The following is a 23,186-nucleotide window of genomic DNA, read 5'->3' on the forward strand; positions in this document are numbered from 1 at the left end:
AAAACCAAATACCGTATATCTTACTTATAAGTGGGAGCTAAACGTAGAATACATATGGACACAAAGAAGACAGCAATAGACACAAGGGCCTACTCAAGGCCTGAGGGTAGGAGAAAGGTGAGAATAAAAAAAAAATTACCTATCAAGTACCATGCTTATTACCTGGGCGATGAAATAATGTGTACACAAAACTACCAGAACACACAATTTGCCTATATAACAAATGTGCACATGCACCCCTGAGATTAAATAAAAATTAAAAAAAATAGGCCGGGTGCCGTGGCTCACTCCTGCAAACCCAGCACTTTGGGAGGCAGAGGCGGGTGGATCACGAGGTCAGGATATCAAGCCCATCCTGGCTAACATGGTGAAACCCCGTCTCTACTAAAAATACAAAAAATTAGCCGGGTGTGGCAGTGTGCGCCTGTAGTCCCAGCTACTGAGGAGGCTGAGGCAGGAGAATGGCGTGAACTCGGGAGGCGGAGCTTGCGGTGAGCCGAGATCGCGCCACTGCACTCCAGCCTGGGCGACAGAGCGAGACTCCGTCTCAAAAAAATAAATAAATAAATAAAATAAAATAAAATAATAATAATAATAATAGGCCATAAATTTGGGGTTTTGGTAATGGTTTTCTAACCATAGAAACAAATATATAAAAAGAAAAATATGGAAATATTTGTTTATTTTACAGTTGTATACTGTTATATAAGTAAAATATCTTTATGGCTAAAAGGGCCATAAAACAGTGAAAAAACCAAATGGCCACTATGGATCAATATTAATTGCGGCCCAGGAAACAGAGTCGCATTGTACAACCATAACCTATGTAACCTACTGTCTGAATGAAAGGTGCAAGAAACCCAAACAAAGAGAATTTGGAAGCCTGGTAGCACTCCCAAAAATTGTCTTTTGCAAGCTTCATAGTAAATGTAGAGAGTGAACATTTATTCCAGATGCTGGCAGTATCTAGAATATTATTTTTAATTTTAATATTGATATAAGTTTTTACCTTTTCTCTCATTTTGAGGGGTTTATTTTCTGGGAAACTGAGAGAATATAATTATGGCATCTTCCTACAGCTTATATATAAAAACTGAATGATATAAAATTTCATTATTTTATTTTTATGAGAGTTATATACATAAACACATATAATCAAATACATTGTTCCCATTATAGTTTTGAACAAATGATCATTTCTCAGATCAATTAAGACTAAGAAAGTACCAATACACATACGAAAAATGCTCAACATCACTAATCATCGGGGAAATGCAAATTAAAACCACAGTGACATATTACCTTACCTCAGCCAGAATGGCCATTATTAAAAAGTTAAAAAAAAAAAAAGAAGGTGGAATAGATGTAGTGAAAAAGGGACCCTTATACATTGCTGGTGGCAATACAAATTAGTACAACTTTTATGGAAAACAGTAGGGAAGTTTCTCACAGAACAAAAAATTGATCTATCATTTAATCCAGCATTCCCACCACTGGGTATCTACCCAAAGGAAAAAAAAAGTCACTATATCAAAAAGACACACGCAAACGTATGTTTACTGCAGCACAGTTCACAACTGCAAAGATATGTAATCAAATTAAGTGCCCACCAACTGATGAGTGGATAAGAAAATGTGACACACACACATACACACACACACACACAGACACACACACACACAGTGGAATACTACTCAGTCATAAAAAATGAAATAAAGTATTTTGCAGCAACTTGGAAGGAACTGGAGGCTATTATTCTAAATGAAGTAATTCAGGAATTAAAAACCAAATACCACATGTTCTCATTTACAAATTGGAGCAAAACTGTGAGTACACAAAGGTATACATAGTGGTAGGATGGACACTGGAAACTCAGAAGAGGGAAGAATGAGAGAGGAGTGAGGGACAAAAAACTACTTATTGGGTACAATATACACTGCTCAGGTGATGCTGTAAAATCCTAGACTTCAGCCATGTAACCAAAAACTACTTGTACCACTAAAGCTATTGAAATAACAAAAATAAAGAAAAGAAGTACTGTGTAATGTAAGTTTGTCAAGAACATAAAAATTCCTAGGGAGAGATGCTGAGAATCAGAGGAACTTGTCCTACCGGCAGATTCTCAGGAAGAGTAGACCCTATGCACCAAAAATTTCTTCTCACTACATCAGAATTTATTTACTACATGTAGCTTTCTGTGTAAAAATTCACCAATTTGAGATTTTAGTTAACAAATATCCTCTCTCTTTTTAAAAGAAAATACCTCTCAGTAGAATAAGAACCCTTAATCAGTAAAGGATAGTGACTAACTGAGAGTTTCAAGAATCCATACTGATATAAAAATAAATGGCTGAAAAGGAAATAAATAAAGGAGAATAGATACATCTCTGGTGGAAAAGAATTTCAAATAATTTATATAGGAAGTAACAAGAGCATAACCACAACTTGTTACATCCGGGCTTTACCTGTGCCTTTCTTCCAAAGTGCACAACATGAAAAAGGAAAGAGGAATAACTTTACAGTGGATAAAACTAGCACACACTACTTCAGACTGATGACTAAGATCTACATCATACTCTTGTTATGATGGGATAAGAGTGGCAGTTTAGATTTGTGGTCTTCCTCCTCAAAACTTGTAAACTGAGTCTAACCATAAAAAACTCTCAGACATATACCAATAGAGGGAATAGAGGGTCATTCTACAAAATACCTGAGCAGAACCTCTCAAAAACTGTCAAGGTCATCAAACACCAAGAGAATCTGAGAAATTGCCACAGCCAAAAGAGTATATGATGCATAAGAAAACGTAATGATTAATTTCAAAGACATATCCTAGATAGGATACTGAAATAGAAAAAAAGACATTAGGTTAAAACTAAAAAATAAAAAAAAATATGGAGTTTAATTAATAATAGTGTGTCAAATTGGATTTATTGATTTGTAAATTTTAACAATGTATCATACTCATGTTAGGTATTAATAATAGGGGAAACTAGGTGTGGAGCATATGAGAACTTTCTGTAGTAATTTTGTAATTTTTCTGTAAATCTAATGCTCTTCTACAATTTAATATTTATTAACACAAATGTAGGATGATGTTACTGACACCTTGTTTGCTCAGTAAAAAGTTTGAAATGACCATAGGATCACATTTAAATAAAATAAACACCCAGTACCACCCCCACATACAAACACATGCTAATACTGAGAAAAGAAACTAGACACAAAGGCTCAATCAAGGGTCCAAGAATAATTAAGGTTTATCCTGCACTTAGAGAAGTAATACACCAGGAAGTTTCCTGGGATTGAATGTAAGTACAAGATTTATATTATTCTTCTGTATACTTCCAAAAGTTATCTGAAATTGATAACATGATCTAAACACACTTTATTATTTGTTTCATCAGTGTTTTGTAGTTCTATTTTAGAGATCTTTCACCTCCCTGGTTAGAAGTATTTCTAGGTACTTCATTCTTTGTGTGACTACTATAAATGAAATTGTGTTATTGATTTGATTCTCAGCTTGAATATTATTGGTGTATAGAAATGCTACTGAGTTTTGTACATAGGTTTTGTATCCTGAAACTGTAGTGAAGTTGTTTATTAGGTCTAGGAGTCTTTTGATGGAATCTTAAGTTTTCTAGATATAGAAACATCATCAGTGAAGAGAAATAAATTGACTTCCTATTTTCCTATTTGGATGCCTTTTGTTTCTTTCTCTTGCCTGATTTATCTGACTAGGACTTCCAGTGTTATTTTGAATAGGAGTAGTGAGATTGGACATCCTTTTCTTGTTTTAGTTCTTAAGGGTAATGTTTTCAGCTTTTGCCCATTCAATATAATGTTTGCTGTGGGAAAGAAATCACAGACAGCACAGACAAATGAAAAAATATTTTATGTCCATAAATTGGAAGAATCAACATCACTAAAATGGCCACACAGCCCTAAGGAATCTATAGATTCAACACAATTTCTGTCAAACCGCCAATGTCATTTTTTACAGAATTAAAAAAAATTCTTAAATCTGTATTAAAACAAAAGTCATCCTGAATAGCCAAGGCAATCCTAGGAGGAAAACAAAGCTGAATGTGTCACATTACCTGACTTCAAGCTACACTACAAGACTATAGTAACCAAAAGATCATAGTACTTGTAAAAAAACAGACTCAGAGATGAGTGGAACAGAAGACAGAACACCAAAATAAAGCCACACACTTACAACCAGTTAACTAAGCTTTGACAAAGTTGGAAAAATAAATGGGGGAAGGAGACCCTATTTAATAAATGGAGCTGAGATATCTGACTAACCATATACAAAAGAATGAAACTGGACCACTATCTCATACCACATATAAAAGTTAACTCATAATGGATTAATATTTAAATGTAAAACCTCAAGCTATTGAAATCCTACAAGAAAACCTACGAAAAGTTTTTGTGCACATTGGTCTAAGAAAAGAATTTCTGACTAAGTTCTTAAAAGCAAACATGACAAAACCAAAAAATATACAAGTGGGACATAATTAAACAGCTTCTGTATAGCAAAATAAACCATCCACACAGTAAATAGACAAGCTACAGAAAGTGAGAAAATATTTGCAAACTATGCATCTAACAAAGGACTAATATCCAGAATCCATAAGGAAATTAAACAAAACAATGAGAAAAAAAATCTTATTAAAAAGTGGGCAAAAGTCATGGACAGACACTTCTCTAAAGACATACAAACAGCCAACGAACATATGAAAAAAATGCCCACTATTATTAATCATCAAAGAAATGCAAATTGAGAACACATAAGATAATGTCTCACACCAGTCAGAGTGGCTACGGCTAAAATGTCAAACATATTGACAAAGATATTGGTGAGGTTGCGGAGAAAAGGAAATGCTTATACACTGTTGGTAGGAATGTAATTTAGTTAAACTTCTGGGGAAAGCAATTTGGAAATTTCTCAAAGATCTAAAAATAGAACTGTCACCCGATCCAGCAATCTCTTTCTTTGAATTTCCTTTTACAAAGGAAAATAGTTTTACCAAAAAATAATCTGCACTTATATGTTCATTGCAGCAGTATTCATAATAGTGAAGATACTGTATCAACCTAGGTGCCTATCAATGGTGGATAGGATAAAGAATGTTGTACATATACACCATGAAATACTATGCAGCCACAAACAGAATAAAATCATGTCCTTTGCAGCAATATCGATGCAGTTGCAGATCATTATTCTAAAGGAATTAACACAGAAACAGAAAACCAAATACCACACATTCTCACTTATAAGTCAGAGCTAAGTATTGCATACACATGGACATAAATATGGGACCAAAAGACACTAAAGATTCCAAAAAACTGGAGGGATATGGGGAGAACGGTTAAAAATTACATATTGGATACTATGTTTACTATTTGGGTGATGGTTTCTATAGAAGCCCAAACCTCAACATCACACAATATATTTATGTAACTAACCGGCACATATAACCCATAAATCTAAAATAAATAAATAAATAAATAAAACACATTATATTAGAATAATTAAAATATAGAAGAGGTCTAGGTTGTCAGAAGCATATGTAAAGCAATTTGAGGTTATACAAAAGGCATTTTTTTATTTAAAAGTTATATGCAACAATATTATGTTTAACAATTATCAGATAATATTTTTAAGATGAGATTAATCCGATTCTATTTTTCCATGGAAACAAGTTTACTCACTGAACTTTAATTACTTACTTATCCATAAAATAAAAATCATAATATTTATCATGTCTACTTTCCTGTATCACAGAATAAAATAAGAAATAAATTTGATATTTAAACTTTTTTTCAACAAATACATATTTGATCAATTACTGTGTTACACATTGTTGTAGAAACTAGGGATTGAGCAGTGAGGAAAAAGCAGGCAATGTTCTTGTTCTCATGAAACTTAAATAAGAAAAAACAAATTATTAAAAAGTAAATTGATAATTTTTGAGAATTTTGGTGTATGTCAAAATTTATTTTGGCAAAGATAAATTTTTTTTTTTAAACGCAGTCTCACTCTGTCACCAGGCTGGAGGGCCGTGGCACGATCTTGGCTCACTGCAACCTCTGCCTCCCTGGTTCAAACGATTCTCCTGTCTCAACCTCCTGAGTAGGTGGGACTACAGGCACACAGCACCACACCCAGTTAATTTTTGTATTTTTAGTAGAGACGGGGTTTCACCATTTTGGCCAGGATGGTCTTCATCTCTTGACCTCCTGATCCAACCACCTCGGCCTCTCAAAGTGCTGGGATTACAGGTGTGAGCCACCACACCCGGCCACAGATAAAGTTTTATTCAAATTTAAAATATTGCTATCAACATGAAAATTATTTCATATTCTCTGCATAGTCTCAGTTTCCTCCATTTGCTTGCTGTGTAGTCTGATTTTTTTTTAAATAGATTTTGGGAAACAGGTAGTTTTTGGTTACATGGATGAATTCTATACTGGTAAATTCTGAGATTTTGGTGCACCTGTTACCCAAATATTGTACACTTTACCCAATATATAGTCTTTTATCCCTCATCCTCCTCCCAACCTTTGCCCTGAGTCTCCAAAGTCTATTATATCATTCTTATGCCTTTGCATCTAAATAGCTTAGTTCCCACTTATAAGTGAGAACATAAAATATTTGGTTTTCCATTCCTGAGTTACTTCACTTAGAATAATAACCTCCTACACCTTTCAAGTTGCTGCAAACAGCATTATTTTGTTCCTTTTTATGACTGAATAGTATTCCATGGTGTATATATACCACATTTCTTTATCCACTTGTTAATTGATGGACACTTTGGGTTCATAGCTTTGCAATTGTGAATTGTGCTGCTACAAACATGCATGTGAAAATGGCTTTTTCATACAAGACTTCTTCTCCTCGAGTAGATACCCAATAGTGGGACTGCAGGATCAAATACTAGATCAAATTTTAGTCCTTTAAGGAATCTCCATATTGTTTTCCATAGAGGTTGTACTAATTTACATTCACACCAACAGTGTAAAAGTGTTCCCTTTTTACTTTGCATTTTCCTGATTATTACTGATGTTGAGCATTTTTTCATATGTTTGTTGGCCATTTGTATATCTTGAGAAATGTCTATTCATGTCCTTTGCACAGTTTGTGATGGAATTATTTGTGGTTTTTTTCCGACTGATTTGAGTTTCTTGTAGATTGTGGACACTAGTCCTTTGTGAGATGCATAGTTTGCAAATATTTTCTCCCATTCTGTGGGTTGTCTGTTTACTCTGCCAATTATTTGTTTTGTTGTGCAGAAACTTTTTAGTTTAATTATATCCAACTTATTCATTTATTTTTTCATTGTTTTGGGGGTCTTTATCATAAAATCATTACCTAGGCAATGTCCATAGTTTTATCTATGCTCATCTAGAATTTTGTGGTTTCAGATCTGAGATTTAGGTCTTTGATTCACCTGGAGTTGATTTTTGTATAAGACGTGAGATGAGGATCCAGTTTCATGCTTCTACCCATGGCTTGCCAGTTTTCCCAGCACCATTTATTGAATAAGGTGTTGTATTAGTGTGTTCTCACAGTGCTATAATGAACGAGCTGAGACTGGGTAATTTATGAAGAAAAGAGGTTTAATTGACTCATAGTTCTGCAGGCTTAACAGGAAGCATGAATTGGAGGCCTCTAGAAACTTACAATCATGGGGGAAAGTGAAGGGGAAGCAAGCACATCTTACCATGGCAGCAGGAGAGACAGAGAGAGAAGGAGGAGGTGCCTCATACTTTTAGATAATCAGATCTTGTAAGAACTCATTCAATATTATGAGAACAGCAAGGGGAAAATTCACCCCCATGATCCAATAACCTTCTACAGGCTGTTCCCCCAACATGTGGACATTAAAATTCAAGATGAGATTTGGGTGGGGACACAGGGCCAAACCATATCTTTCTGGCTGTGGCCCCTCTCAAATGTCATGTTGCTTTCACATCTCAAAAGACAATCATGCCTTCCCAACAGCCACCCAAAGTCTTAACTCATTCCAGCATTAACTCAAAAGTTCACATTCAAAGTCTCATCTGAGACAAGGCAAGTCCCTTCCACCTATGAGACTGTAAAATAAAAAACAAGTTACTTCCAAGATAAAATGAAGATACAGGAATTGGGTAAATGCTCCCAATCCAAAAGGGAGAAATTGGCCAAATCAAAGGAGCTACAGGCCTCATGAAAGTCTGAAATAGAACAGGGCAGTCATTAAATTTCAAAGCTATAAAATAATCTCCTTTGACTCCAAGTCTCAAAACCAAAGCACACTGATGCAAGGGGTGGGCTTCCAAGGCGTTAAGCAGCTCTGCCTTTGTGGCTCTGCAGGGTACAGCACCACAGCTGCTTTCATAGGCTTGCATTGAGTGACTGTGGCTTTTCTAGGCACATAGTGCAAGCTGTCAGTGGATCTACCATTTTGCACTATGGAGGATGGTGGCCCTCTTCTTGCAGCTCCACTAGGCAGTGGCCCAGTGGGGATTCTGTGTGGGGGCTCCAACCCCACATTTCCCCTCTGCACTTCTGTAGTAGAGGTACTCCATGAGGGCTCTGCTCCTGCAGCAGACTTCCTCCTGGCCATCCAAGCATTTCCATACATCCTCTATAATCTAGGTGGAATTGCCAAAGCCACAACTCTTGCCTTCTGTGTACCTGCAGGCACGACACCACATGGAAGCTGCCCAGTCTTGGGGCTTGCTCACTCTGAAGCAATGGCCTAAGCTGTATCTTGGCCCTTTTAGCCAGGACTGGAGCTTGAGCAGCTGGGACACAGGGCACCTTGTCCCACGACTGCACAAAGCATCTGGGCCCTGGGCCTGGCCCACGAAACCATTTTTCCCTTCTAGGCCTCCAGGCTTGTGATGGGAGGGACTGAAGTGAAGGTCTCTGACATGCTCTGGAGATATGTCTTGGCTATTAACATTCCGCTCCTCTTTACTTATGCAAATTTCTGCAGCAGGCTTAAATTTCTCCCTAGAAAATGAGTTTTTCTTTTCTACCACATGGTCAGGCTGCAAGTTTTCCAAACTTTTATGTTCTGCTTTTCTTTTTAATATAAGTTCCAATTTTAGACCATCTATTTTCTGACACATATGAGCATACACTTTTAGAAACAACCAGGTCACATCTTGAATGCTTTGATGCTTAGACATTTCTTCCATCAGATACCATAAATCACGTCTCTCAAGATAAAAGTTCTACATATCTCTAGGACAGGGACAGAATGTTACCAGTCTCTTTGCTAGAGCAAAGCAAAAGTGTCCTTTACACCAGTTCTCATCTCCATCTGAGAACACCTCAGCTTGTACTTCATTGTCCATATCACAATTAGCATTTTTAACAAAACCATTCAACAAGTCTCTAGGAAGTTCCAAACTTTCCCACATCTTCCTATCTTCTGAGCACTCAAAACTGTTCTAATCAATGCCCATTACCCAGATTTAAAGTTGCTTCCACATTCTCAGGTATCTTTATATCAGTATCCCACTCCTAGTACCATTTTTCCATATTAGTCCATTCTCACAGTGCTATAAAGAACTACCCAAGACTGGGTAATCTGTAAAGAAAAAAGGTTTAATTGACTCACAGTTTTGCAGGCTTAACAGGAAGCATGACTGGGAGGCCTAAGGAAACTTACAATCATGGCAGAAGAGAAAAGAGAAGAAAGCACATCTTACCATGGTGGCAGGAGAGACAGAGAGAGAATGGGGAGGTGCCATACACTTTTAAACAATGAGAACTCATGAAAACTCATTCACTATCATGAGAACAGCAAGTGAGAAATCTGCCCCCATGATCCAATCACCTTCCACCAGGCTCCTCTCCTGACACATGGGGATTACAGTTTGAGATGAGATTTGAGTGGGGACACAGAGCCAAATACATCAGGAGTTTTTTGCTCAATTTATATTTTTGTAAGCTCTGTCAAAGATCAGTTGGCTGTGAGTATTTGGCTTTAATTCTCTGTTCTCTATTCTTTTCTGTTGGTCTAAGTGCCTATTTTTATACCAGTACCATGCTGCTTTGGTAACTATAGCCTTGTAGTATATTTTGAACTCTGGTAATGTAATGCTTCCAGATTTCTTCTTATTGCTTAGTAGTGCTTTGGCTATTCAGGCTCTTTTCTGGTTCCATATGAATTTTAGAATTGTTGTTTCTACTTCTGTGAAAAATGGTGGTGGTGGTTTTTTTTTTTTTTTTTTTTTTTTTTTTTTTTTGGAGATGCAGTCTCCCTCTGCCGCCCAAGCTGGAGTGCAGTGGCACAATCTCGGCTCACTGCAAGCTCTGCCTCCTGGGTTCATGCCATTCTCCTGCCTCAGCCTCCTAAGTAGCTGGGACTACAGGCGCCCGCCACCATGCCCAGCTAATTTTTTTGTACTTTTAGTAGAGACTGGGTTTCACCGTGCTAACCAGGATGGTCTCGATCTCCTGACCTCATGATCCACCTGCCTCAGCCTCCCAAAGTGTTGGGATTACAGGCGTGAGCCACCGCGCCTGGCTGGTGGTGGTGTTCTTATGGAAATTGCTTTGAATCTGTAGATTGCTTTGGGCAGTATGATCATTTTTACAATACGAATTTTTCCCACCCATAGGCATGGGATAAGTTTCCATTTGTTTGTGTCATCTATGATTTATTTCAGCAGTGTCTTGTAGTTTTCTTTGTAAATATACTTTACCTCTTTGTCTAAGTATATTCCTAGATTTTTTTTTAGCTCCTGTAAACAAGATTGAGTTCTTGATTTAATTCTCAGCTTGGACATTTTTAGTATTTATCATTTTTACTGGTTTGTGTACATTGATTTTGCATCCTGAGATTTTACTAAATTCATTTATCATATCTAGGAGTCTTCTGAAACAGCCTTTAGAGTTTTCTAGGTATAGAATCTTATCAGTGAACAGTACTAGTATGACTTTTTCTTTTTATATTTGGATGTCCTTTATTTCTTTCTCTTGCCTGATTGCTCTGACTAGGACTTCTAGTACTATGTTAAATAGAAGTGGTGAAAATGGGCATCCTTCTCTCCTTAAAGTTTTCAGGGTGAAATTTTTCAACTTTTTTCCTTTTAGTATGATGTTTGCTGTGGGTATGTCATATATGGCTTTTATTATTTTGAGGTAAGTCTCTTCTATGCCTAGTTTATTGAGGATTTTTATCATAAACAGATGCTGGATTTTATCAAATGCTTTGCATCTATTGAGATGATCCTATACTTTAGTCTAATTCTGTGTATGTGATCTATAACATTTATTGACTTGAATATGTTAAGCCATCTCTGCACTCCTGGGACAAAACCCACTTGGCCATGATGTGTTATATTTTTGATGTGATGTTGGATTCAGTTAGCTAGTATTTTGTTGAGGATTTTTGCATCAAAGTTTATCAGGGATATTGGTCTATGGTTTTTTTTTATTATTTTCTTTCCTGCTTTTGGTGTCAGGGTGATACTGGCTTCAAAGAATAATTTCACAAGGATTCCGTGTTTCTCAATCTTTTGGAATAGTTTCAGTAAGATTTGCAACAATCGTTCTTTGAATTTCTGGTAGAATTTAGCTATGAATTCATCTGGTTTTGGGATTTTTGTTGGCTTTTTTAAATTATTGATTCAATTTTGCTGCTTGTTATTGGTCTCTTCAGGATTTCTATTTATTTTTCTGATTGAGTCTAGGAGGATTGTATGTTTTCAGGAATTTATTCATTCCCTCTAGGTTTTCTATTTTGTGTGCATAAAGGTGTTCATAGTAGTCTCAAATGATCTTTTGTATTTCTGGGGAATATGTTGTAATGTCTCCAGTTTCATTTCAAATTGAGCTTAGATGGATCTATCTTCTCTCTTCATTTTTGGTCAGTCTTACTAATGGTCTCACAATTTTGCTAATCTTTTCAAAGAACTAGCTTTTTGTTTCATTTATATTTGGTATTTTCTTTGTTTCAACTTTATTTAGTTGTCTGATATTTGTTATTTCTTTTCTTCTGCTGTCTTTGGGTTTAGTTTGTTCCTGTTTCTATGGTTCCTTGAGGTGGTACATTATGTTGTCAATTTGTGCTTTTTCAGACTTTTTGATATAGGCATTTAACTATTAACTTTCCTTTTTGCATAGCTTTTTCTGTATTCCAGAGGTTTTGATAACTTGTGTCACTATTATCATTCATTTTAAAAAATTTATATTTCCATCTTGATTTCCTTGCTAACCCAGAAATCATTCCAAAGTAGATTATTTATTTTCCATGTATTTGCATAATTTTGAGGGTTCCCTTTTATGTTTATTTCTAGTTTTAATCCACTGTGTTCTGAGGAGATATTTAATATGGTTTCAGTTTTCTTAAATGTATTGAGACTTGTGTTTTTGTCCTATCATATAGTCTATCTTGGAGAATGTTCCATGTGCTGATGAGAAGAACGTATATTCTGCAGTTGTTGGGTAGAATGTTCTGTAAATAGCTGTTAAGTCTGTTTATTCTAGAGTGTAGTTTAAGTCCATTGTTTCTTTGATGACATTCTGTCTGATTGTTATTGTTCTTCTGGATCTAGCCACGAGTAGGGCTGCCACGACCCAGCTGGTGCTATGGAATATGCAAGGGATCTGGTGATGTGACCTGTTCTCAAATCTCCCAGCAGTGGGTACCAGCATGAGCTCTGATGGGGATAATAGGAGAGTGATACAGACTCTGTGTATTTTCTTAGTTATAGGTAGCCTTAGTGTGCTGGCTTTCTCAAAAGCTGATTATAATAATGGTGAACTGGCCAAGTAGACAGACTCAGAACCTTCTACTTAGCCAGGGTGTTAGAGGCAATGGTGATATCTGAGTTCACACCCTGGTTTTCTCCTTTCTGGGAGCAGTGTTATTCTACCTAGTGATGCTGTAACAGACTGAGTCAGTTTGACCCCAGCCAGAAGGTGGCGCGTGCAAAAGAGCACCATCTGCAGTAGTAGCAGTAGGATTTGAGCGTGTTTTTATGTTGCCCAGGGAAGGTATTCTGGTTTCTTGGGTGATGGACAGAGCCATAAAGCTCCCCAAAGTTTTTATCATTTGTGTTAATATACCAGGGCAGGTAGAGGGGCACAGTCAGGTGGGGGCTGAATCAGGCAGTTCTGTACTCTGACTCTCCATGTGTAGGGCAAGCTGCATGCCCTGTGGGGTTTGTGAAGCAGTTCTCAGGCTACTGGGGTAATGTATTGGAGCAGTCCTGTTTCAATCTTCTGCATATGGCTAGCCAGTTATCCCAGCACTATTTATTAAATGAGTCCTTTCCCCATTGCTTGATTTTGTCCACCTCCATGAATTCCAGATGATTGTAGGTATGTGGTATCATTTCTGAGCTCTCTATTCTATTCAATTGGTCTATGTGCCTGTTTTGTACCAGTATCCTTTTTTGGTTACTGTACCTTTGAAGTATAGTTTGAGGTCAGGTAAAGTGATGCCTTCAGCGCTATTCTTTTTGTGTAGAATTGCTTTAGCTATTCAGGCTATTTTTTGTTGTTGTTGTTCCATATGAATTTTGAAATAGTTTTTACTAATTCTCTGAAGAATGTCATTGATAGTTTGATAGGAATCACTTTAAATCTCTAAATTGCTTTGGGTAGTATGCCCATCCTAACAATATTGATTCTTCCTTAAATGCTTTTCCATTTGATTGTGTTATCTCTGATTTCTTTGAGCAGCGTTTTGTAATTCTTTTGGTAGAGATCTTTCACCTCCATGGTTAGCAGTACTTTTAGGTATTTTATTCTTTTTATGGCCATCGTGAATGGGATTGCATTCTTGATTTGGCTCTCAGCTTAGATGTTGTTGGGGTATAGGAGTCTTACTGATTTTTGCATATTGTTTGGTATGATGAAACTTTGTTCAAGTTGTTTATCAGATCAAGTAGGTTTTGGGCAGAGACTATGGGATTTCTATGTATAGAATTACATGCTCTGAAAACAGGAATAGTTTGACTTCCTCTATTCCTTTTTGGATGCCTTTTATTTTATTTCAATTGCCTGATCGCTCTGGCCAGGACTTCCAGTACTCTGTTGAATAAAAGTGGTGAGAGAGGGCATCCTTATCTTCTGGAATTCCAGGGGAATGACTCCAGCTTTTGCTCATTCAGTACAATGTTGACTATGGGTTTGTCATAGACAGCTCTTATTATTTTGAAGCATATTTGTGCAATGTCTTGTTTGTTGAGGGTTTTAAAAAATGTCTATAGTTTGTAGAGTTAGAGATCTACCTTCTACTATCTTGCCACATGGTTAACATGATAGAAACTTTAATAAAGGTGGTTGTGGCCAAAAATACAGGGCTTTATTTCCTCCAGCCTCCAGTTATGTGTTATGCTACTTTCCCAGGATAGGGTGCTTGCATTTCTCATCACTCCCAAGCTGTGTTGCAGGAGCTAAATTCCAGGAAGGCATGGCCAAAGGGTCATCAGCTGTGGCAGGTAAATACAAGACATGTGATTATTCTCATTCCAGCTTGCTTGCTTGTAGATGAAATGTCAACAAGTACGCCAGGAAGGCCAGAGCTTGTGATATATGCAGGAGGAAGTTAAGGGGGCAGGTCCCCAGAGAACCTCTGACCAGCCTGCACACTTGGAGGAAGGAGTGGAGCCATGGGAAGTTCACGCTGTTTGCAGCCGGGAGAAGCCTGGCCTATTCAGTTCCTGTGTGCGTGGCCTGCAATCAATCTGTGAGATGGGGGCCTGTTAGCACGAACCCCTCTTGCTTTGCTGAGAGTTTTTATTTTTCCTTTTTTTCCTTTTCATCCAATAAATTCCCCTAACCTTTCAATGTGTCTGTGTGTCTTTTTCTGGTTGTGTGACAAGAACTTGCTTTTAGCTGAACTAAAGATCAAAGTTCTGCAACATTTTGGTGCCCAAACATTGGGACATGAGAAAGCGTGAGTAACACGCAAACCAAAAATCTTTTTCCCTGTCACTTTTAAGCCTTTGTGGTCTCAGATTTCTTCTGAGGGTAGAGGAAATTATGCCGCCTACCCCACCCTGTTACTCCCAGGGGTCAAGAATGTTGTTGGCCTTTTTCTTATTTTGGGGGGAAGAATAATTGGTTCTTCCCCCAGGCTCAACCCTGCACTTTAAACTTTTTTTTCCTTTTCTCTACCCTGTCAGGAGTTAACACAGTCCTGAATTTTAAGCTTTTTTTTTTCTCTTTTCTCTACCAGGTCAGGAGTTAACTTTTAAGGGATGCTTTTTTTCTTTTTAAAAGATGTTTTACTAGCCCAGGAATAATAAGGATCATTGCTAATAGTCTTTGTAAAGTTTTAATTATGAAAAAGGATTTGTGAGGTTGGTGTTAAGCTGTAGCCAATCTGGTGTACTTTGCGTGTCTTTCTGGATGGTCAGTAGCAAACTTTGCTGCAGGTCTCCATCTTGTTTTACCTCCTTTGAAGCATGACCTGTAACCACGTGGCCATGCTTTGTTTAGCCTCCTCCACTGCGCGCTCTTTAAGAAAATCCTTTTAAGTTTTGTTGGTGAGGGGATTATTTTTCAAATTTGCTACATTTATTACAAAAATATTGTCCAAAATTTTTAACAAACAATCACAAAACACAAAGAGACAGGTAACTTTTACACAAACACAGAATTTTTAAAGACAGGTAACAAGACCACTTGAAAGAGAGTCCAGATGTTGCAATTAACAAAAATTTCAAAGCAAAAAATATTTATGCATTCAGAGAACCAAGAGAAACCATGTTTTAGGAAGGTATGATGGCAATGCCTCCTGTAAACTAAAAATAAAATTCTAATACCCTTCACCGATCTGAATGGACCTCCTCTTAAGCCAGGGCTTTAAAATTTAACCTGAAAGACTGGTTCAGGCCATGATGAGAAGTGGGAATCTGACATGTCTCATTATACCTCTCCGGAATTTACAACAACACAGACCTTAGGTCTGTTAAGAAACATTTATAGTCTATTCTCTCTGAAGCCTGCTATCCAGAGGCTTCATCTGCATGATAAAACTTTGGTCTTCACAACCTCTTATCACAACCCAGACATTCTTTCTATTGATAGTTCTTTCAACCAATTGCTAATTGGAAAAATTTCAAATGTACCAATCAACTGGAAGCCCCCACTTCAAGTTGTCCTGCCTTTCTGGACCAAATCAATGTATTTATTAAATGTATTTGATTGAAGTTGCATGTGTCCCTAAAATGTATAAAACCAAACTGCACCCTGATAACCTTGGGCACATGGTCTCAGGATCTCCTGAGGGCTGTGTCATAGGCCATGGTCATTCATATTTGGCTCAGAAGAGATCTTTTCAAATATTTTACAGAGTTTGACACTCTTTGTTGACACTCCTCAAATAGAAAAAAATCAGTAAAGAAACAAAAATTTTTTAAAAATGAAATTTTGTAGGTGAAAGTACAATAATTGAAGTGATAAACTCACTGAAGTTATTCAACAATTGGTTTTAATACACAGAAGAAAGAATCTGTGAAATCAAAGATGGATTGATAAACATTATGTAATTCAAATACAAAGAGAAAAAAAGTGTGGGAAAACTGAACAGAATCTCACTATTGCAGAACACTGGTACATATATTAGCACACATCTAATGGAAATGTCAGGAGAGAAATTGTAGGGAAAGAAACAAAACACATTCAAGAAATAATTGCTGAAATCTTCCCATATTTTATGAAAAACAAATGTACACATAAAAACTCATTGAAATCCAGGTAGAATAAATACAAAGAGATTCATACCTAAAGGCATCTAATTAAAAATCCTGAAAGATTAAGACAAAATCTTGAAAGCAGCAAGAGAAAAAAAATTATCATACAAAGGAATCCCATGAAAGTAACAGCTGATTTTCCACTCAATGACAGTGGAGAATAGAAGACAGTAGGATAAAATCTACGAAGTTCTAAAAGAAAAAAGTCAATTTGGAATATTATATAAAGCAAAACTATATCTGAAAAGTAAAGGTAAAAAGAAATGACATAGGCAAAATTGGCAAAATAATAAACTTTACGTACCTTTACTCACCAGTCACCAGAAACGCCAAAAAATAAAATAAAAAGCTATCAAAAATTGTTGGAATCAACATTATAAGAACTCTGGTTAACAGTCAGAGGTTTACAACAGCCAAGCAAATGCTTAAACAGAAAAATATTACTGAAACACATTAGAGCTTTGTGGCAATTTAATATAATCTTACCCCAATCTTCTTACAGATATGGTGACAGTATAAAGATGACTGACTGTGTTTCTGGTATGGTTTCACACCAGAGGCAGGAGAGAGCTGTTCATAAAAAAGTCAAACTCTGTAAAACATTTGAAGAGATTTATTCTGAGCCAAATATGCATGAACGATGGTCTATGACACAGCCATCAGGAAATCCTGAGAGTATGGGCCTGAGTTGGTCAGGCTCCAGCTTGGTTTTATAAATTTTAGGGAGATAAAAGACATTGATAAATACATGTAAAATATACGTTAATTTAGTCCAGAAAGGTGAGACAACTGTAAGTGGAGGCTTCAAGGTCATAGACAGATTAAAAGATTTTCTAATTGGCAATTGGTTGAAATAGTTACTATCTAAAGACCTGGAATCAATAGCAACGAGTATATCTGGGTTAAGATAAAAGGTTGTGGAGACCAAGGGCTTATCATGCAGATGAAGCTTCTATGTTGCAGGCTTCAGAATTCTTATCAGACTAAGAAAAGTTCCAAGACATTTGTTAATTCTCTCCTGAATCAGGGAAAAGACCCGCAAAAGAACAGGGATTCTCTACATAATGTAGATTTTCCTCACAAGAGACAGCTTTGCATGCCCATCTTAAAATATGTCAAATAAATCTAATTTGGGGTAAAATACCTTAACTTCTTTCAAGCCCAGCTATGTGTCATGTGATGCCGTACTAGAGTCAAGCTGGAATTAGATGTCTTATCACTACAAAAAATGCCTGCTTTGTCAGTCTAAAGTTCTGTTTTAACGTTAATGCTGGACAGCTGTGCCTGAATTTCAAAAGGGAGGAGGAAATAATGAACCATGTGCAATCTACTCTTTCCATCATGGCCTGAACTAGCTTTACAGGTTAACTTTGGAATTCCCTTACCTGAGGGGAGGGTCCAACACCTGCTTAGAGGTCTTTAAATTTTATTTTTGGTTTATGGAGCAGATCATATTTGGTTTCTTGAAAATAGTGTTTGCCTGTTTTGATCTAACTGGAAGTTTCTTGGTGGACTAAAATGAGGAGTTTGCCTTTGTCTCATTTAACTCAGACTTTTTTTAAAAAAAATAATGTCTATGCAAAGGACACCACTTGGAAAAAATTACAGGTAATTTAAGAACCCACTGCCACCTTGGACAAAACAATAATTTTTGAAGCAAACAATACAAAAGTCAAATGCATCATGCTACCTGACTTCAAGCTATACTACAAGGCTACAGTAACCAAAACAGCATGCTACTGGTACCAAAACAGATATATAGACCAATGGAAAAGAACAGAGGCCTCAGAAATAACACCGCACATCTACAACCATCTTATCTTTGACAAATCTGACAAAAACAAGCAGTGGGGAAAAGATTCCCTATTTAATAAATGGTGTTGGGAAAACTGGCTAGCCATATGCAGAAAACTGAAACTGGACCCCTTCCTTATACCTTATACAAAAATTAACTCAAAATGGATTAAAGACTTAAAAGTAAGACCTGAAACCATAAAAACCCTATAAGAAAACCTAGGCAATACCATTCATGACACAGTCATGGACAAAGACTTCATGACTAAAACACTAAAAGCAATGGCAACAAAAGCCAAAATTGACAAATGGGATCTAATTAAACTAAAGAGCTTCTGCACATCAAAAGAAACTATCATCAGAGTGAACAGGCAACCTACAGAATGGGAGAAAATTTTTACAATCTATCCATCTGACAAAGGGCTAATATCCAGAATCTACAAGGAACCTAAAGAAATGTACAAGAAAAAAAAAACTCATCAAAAAGTGGGCAAAGGATATGAACAGACACTTTTCAAAACACGACATTTATGTGGCCAACAAACATATGAAAAAAAGCTCATCACTGGTCATTAGAGAAATGCAAGTCAAAACCACAATGAGATACCATCTCAGGCCAGTTACAATGGCAATCATTAAAAAGTCAGGAAACAACCGATGCTGGAAAGGGTGCAGAGAAATAGGAACACTTTTACACTGTTGGTGGGAGTGTAACTTAGTTCAATCATTGTGGATGACAGTGTGGCAATTCCTCAAAGATCCAGAACTGGAAATGCCATTTGACCCACCAATCCCATTACTGGGTATATACCCAAATGATTATAAATCATTCTACTATAAAGACACATGCACACGTATGTTTATTGCAGCACTATTCACAATAGCAAAGACTTGGAACCAACCCAAATGCCCATCAATGTTAGACTGGATAAAGAAAATGTGGCACATATACACTGTGGGATACTATGCAGCCATAAAAAAGGATGAGTTCATGTCCTTTGCAGGGACATGGATGAAGCTGGAAACCATCATTCTCAACAAACTAACACAGGAACAGAAAATCAAATACCACATATTCTCACTCATAAGTGGGAGTTGAACAATAAAAACATATGGGCACAGGGAGGGGAACATCTCACACTGGGGCCTGTTGGGGGGTGGGGGGCATGAGGAGGGATAGCATTAGGAGAAATACCAAATGTAGATGACAGTTTGATGGGTCCAGCAAACCACCATGGTACATTTATACTTATGTAACAAGCCTGCCTGTTCTGCACATGTATCCCAGAACTTGAAGTATCATTGATATACATATATATATATATATATATCAAAGCTATAGCAACCAAGACACCATGATATTGGCATAAAAACAGACCCACAGAGCAAAAGAAGAGAATAGAGAACACAGATATATACTACCCCAGCTGCAAAAAATCTCATCTTCGACACAGGTGCCAAGCACACACAATGGGAAAAGGACAGTTGTTTCAATAAATGTGTTGGAAAAATCGATTAACTATGCCAAAAAAAAAATTAGACTGCCATCTTTCACCACACACAAAAATAAAATAAAAATAAATTAGAAACTATAATCTACTACCTGAAACTAGGAAACTACTAGAAGAAAACATTGGGGAAACACTGTAGGAAATTGGTCTGGGCAAATTTTTTTGTGTGTAAGACCTGAAAGGCACAGGGTACCAAAGCAAAAATAGACAAATAAGATTACCTCAAGCTAAAAAGCTTTCACGCAACAAATGAAACAATCAAAAAAATGAAGACAATCCACAGAATTGAAGAAAACAGTTGCAAACCATTGATCTGACAAAGGATTAATAACCAGAATATATAAGTGGCTTAAACAGTTCAAGAGCAAAATAATAATAATAATTCAATTAAAAGATAAGCAAAAGGCCGTGTCTGGTGGCTCATGCCTGTAATCCCAGTACTTTGGGAGGCTGAGGCGGGTGGATAACCTGAGGTCAGGAGTTCAAGACCAGTCTGGCCAACATGGTGAAACCCCATCTCTACTGAAAATACAAAAATTAACTGGGCATGGTGGCAGGGGCCTGTAATCCCGGCTACTCAGGAGGCTAAGGCATGAGAATCTCTTGAACCCGGGTGACAAGAGCAAAACTTCATCTCAAAAAAAAAAAAAAGCAAAAGATCTGAATAGACTTTTCTCAGAAGTACATAAATGACAAACATGTGTATGAGAAATGCTAAAAATAACAAATCATCAGAGAAATGCAAATCAAAATCACAGTGAGACATCATCTCACTCCAGTTAAAATAGCTTTTATCAAAAACACAGGCAATAACTCACAAGAGTATTGAGAAAGGAAAACTCTTGTACATTGTTGCTGAGAATATAAATTAATACTGTGACTATGGAGAACATTATGGAGGTTTCTCAAAGAAGAAAAAATAGATCTACCACTAGGCATGGTGGTTGACACCTGTAATCCCAACACTTTGAGAGGCCAAGATAGGTGAATTGTTTGAGCCCAATGTCAAGATCAGCCTGGGCAATATGGTGAAACTCCATCTCCACAAAAAAATTAAAAAAATTAGCCCAGCATGGTGGCATGCACCTATAGTCCCAGCTACTAGGGAGGCTGAGGTGGGAGGATCACTGGAGCCCAGAAGGTAGAGGTCGCAGTGAGTCAAGATCACCCCAGTGTACTCCAACCCAGGTAACAGAGCAAGACACTGAAAAAAAAAAAGTGCTACCATATATTAAGCAATTCTACTACTGGGTATATATTCAAAAGAAAGGAAATCAGTACATCAAAGAGATGTCTGCATTTCCATGTTATTGCTGCATTATTTAGAATAGTTCAAAATATGGAATCAACATAAATGCTCACCAATGAATAAGTGGATAAAGACAATATGGCATATATGCATAACAAAATATTATTCAGCCATAAAAAGAATGAAATCCTGTCATTTTAAGGAACACAGATGGAACTGGAGATCACTATATTAAGTGAAATAAGTCAGGCACAGAAAGACAAATATCACATTTTCTCACTCATATGATGGAGCTAAAATAGTGAATCTCATGAAAATGAAGAGTAGATTAATGGTTATCAAAGGCGGAAATGAAAGAAACAAAGAAGATTTTATATTTATAATAAGTACATAAGCATATATTACCACTAAACTTCGCATTTCAAAACAGCAAAATAATAAATTATATATGTATTTTTCACTTCAATAAAAAAAGAAACAAAAATGTAAAAAGCATGGAATTGTAATAAAACACACATATGTCAATGAAACAGAATTGAGAAACCAATTATAAATTCACATATTTATAGCTAACTGATTTTCAAAAAAGGAGTCAAGAACATACATTAGGAAAATGCCACTCTTTTCAGTAAATAGTTTTAGACAAACTGGATATCGACATGTAGAAGAATAAATCTAAATTTCCATCTTTTACCATATATAATAAACAACTCAAAATGCATTAAAAACTTAGATGTAAGACACAAATTATAAAAGAATAAAACATAGGGGAAATGCCTTAGAACATTGTTCTAGGTACAGATTTTATGAGTAATACTTCAAAAGTGAAGGCATTAAGAAAAATAGAGAAATGAGATTATGTCAAACAAAAAAGCTCCTGAACAGCAAAGGAAACAATCAGCAGTGGAAAGAGACAACCTGAAGAATAGGAGAAAATATTTGCAAACTATTCATTCACAAGGCGTTAATGTCCAGAATATATAAGGAACTCAAACAACTGAACAGAAAAAAAAATCTATTACAAAATTTTGGCAAATAGACATTTTTCAAAGAATAAATACAAATGACCAAGTACATAAAAAAATTTTCAACACTGACTTTCAGTTTCAAAATGGCAGCATAGCAGAAAGCTGGCCTCACCACCCCCATAGAAAACTAAAAACAAACATATAGTGCCAAGATTCTCTCCAGCAATAGCCCAGACCTCACACAGGAAGATGTGACAGTTCCCAGGACGGCAGGAAAGTCAAGAAACCTTAGAGCATATGTAAGAGATTCAGACTTCCACATCTGTGATGACCGTTCCTCCAATCTTCCCACCACCAAACACATAAAAATCTTCCTTAGGACTAATGGTCTCTACACTGGAAAAAGTGGGATCAAGAGGGGGCACCACCATCCTGACGATCTCAGCTTCACTGACAAAAAAACACATTCCTGCCTCAACCCACGGGAAGCATTGGGAGTGCCTGAAGGGAGAAATATTCCTGAAGACAGTGAGAGACAAATGGAGAAGGAAGGACAACCATTCCTAGCCCTGAAAACTCTGCTTTGTAACTCACCCAAAGGAGACATCAATTCAGAGCAACTGTTCAGTATCACCACATTTTAGAAGTTTTATCCCATAGTTCCCATGGGTACAAACCCCTAATTAGCTTTCCCACACTACTGGGATATTTCTCCTGTTACATCCCTCATTCTGGATGAAAGACATTCTGTTTACTAGAACTGCAGCAAACCTGGGCTTAAGGCTCCATCTAGTGCCCTAATGAAGGCATCAACCTAGCAGAAAAAAAAAAAAAAAGAAAAGTAAAGAAAGGAAAAGAAAAGAAGAAAAATCAATAGGCAAATTATAAAAAATCTCTAAGCAAACATATCTAACAACAACAACAAAAACAAGCCAAGCAGAGAAA

At 36.7% G+C, this 23,186-nt stretch overlaps 1 long non-coding RNA gene across 1 annotated transcript in view; it reads right to left on the reverse strand.

Annotated features, from left to right (window-relative positions):
- LOC107985713 (uncharacterized) overlaps positions 1-22,978 on the reverse strand; it is a 119,361-nt gene extending 96,383 nt beyond the window's left edge. Inside the window, exon 1 of the long non-coding RNA XR_001755911.2 lies at positions 22,836-22,978. This is a non-coding gene — a long non-coding RNA (uncharacterized LOC107985713). The remainder of the gene's footprint in view (positions 1-22,835) is intronic.
- Between the last annotated feature and the right edge of the window lie 208 nt (positions 22,979-23,186).

This window comes from Homo sapiens, chromosome X, assembly GCF_000001405.40.
Source record: "Homo sapiens chromosome X, GRCh38.p14 Primary Assembly".
Taxonomy (NCBI): Eukaryota; Metazoa; Chordata; class Mammalia; order Primates; family Hominidae; genus Homo; species Homo sapiens.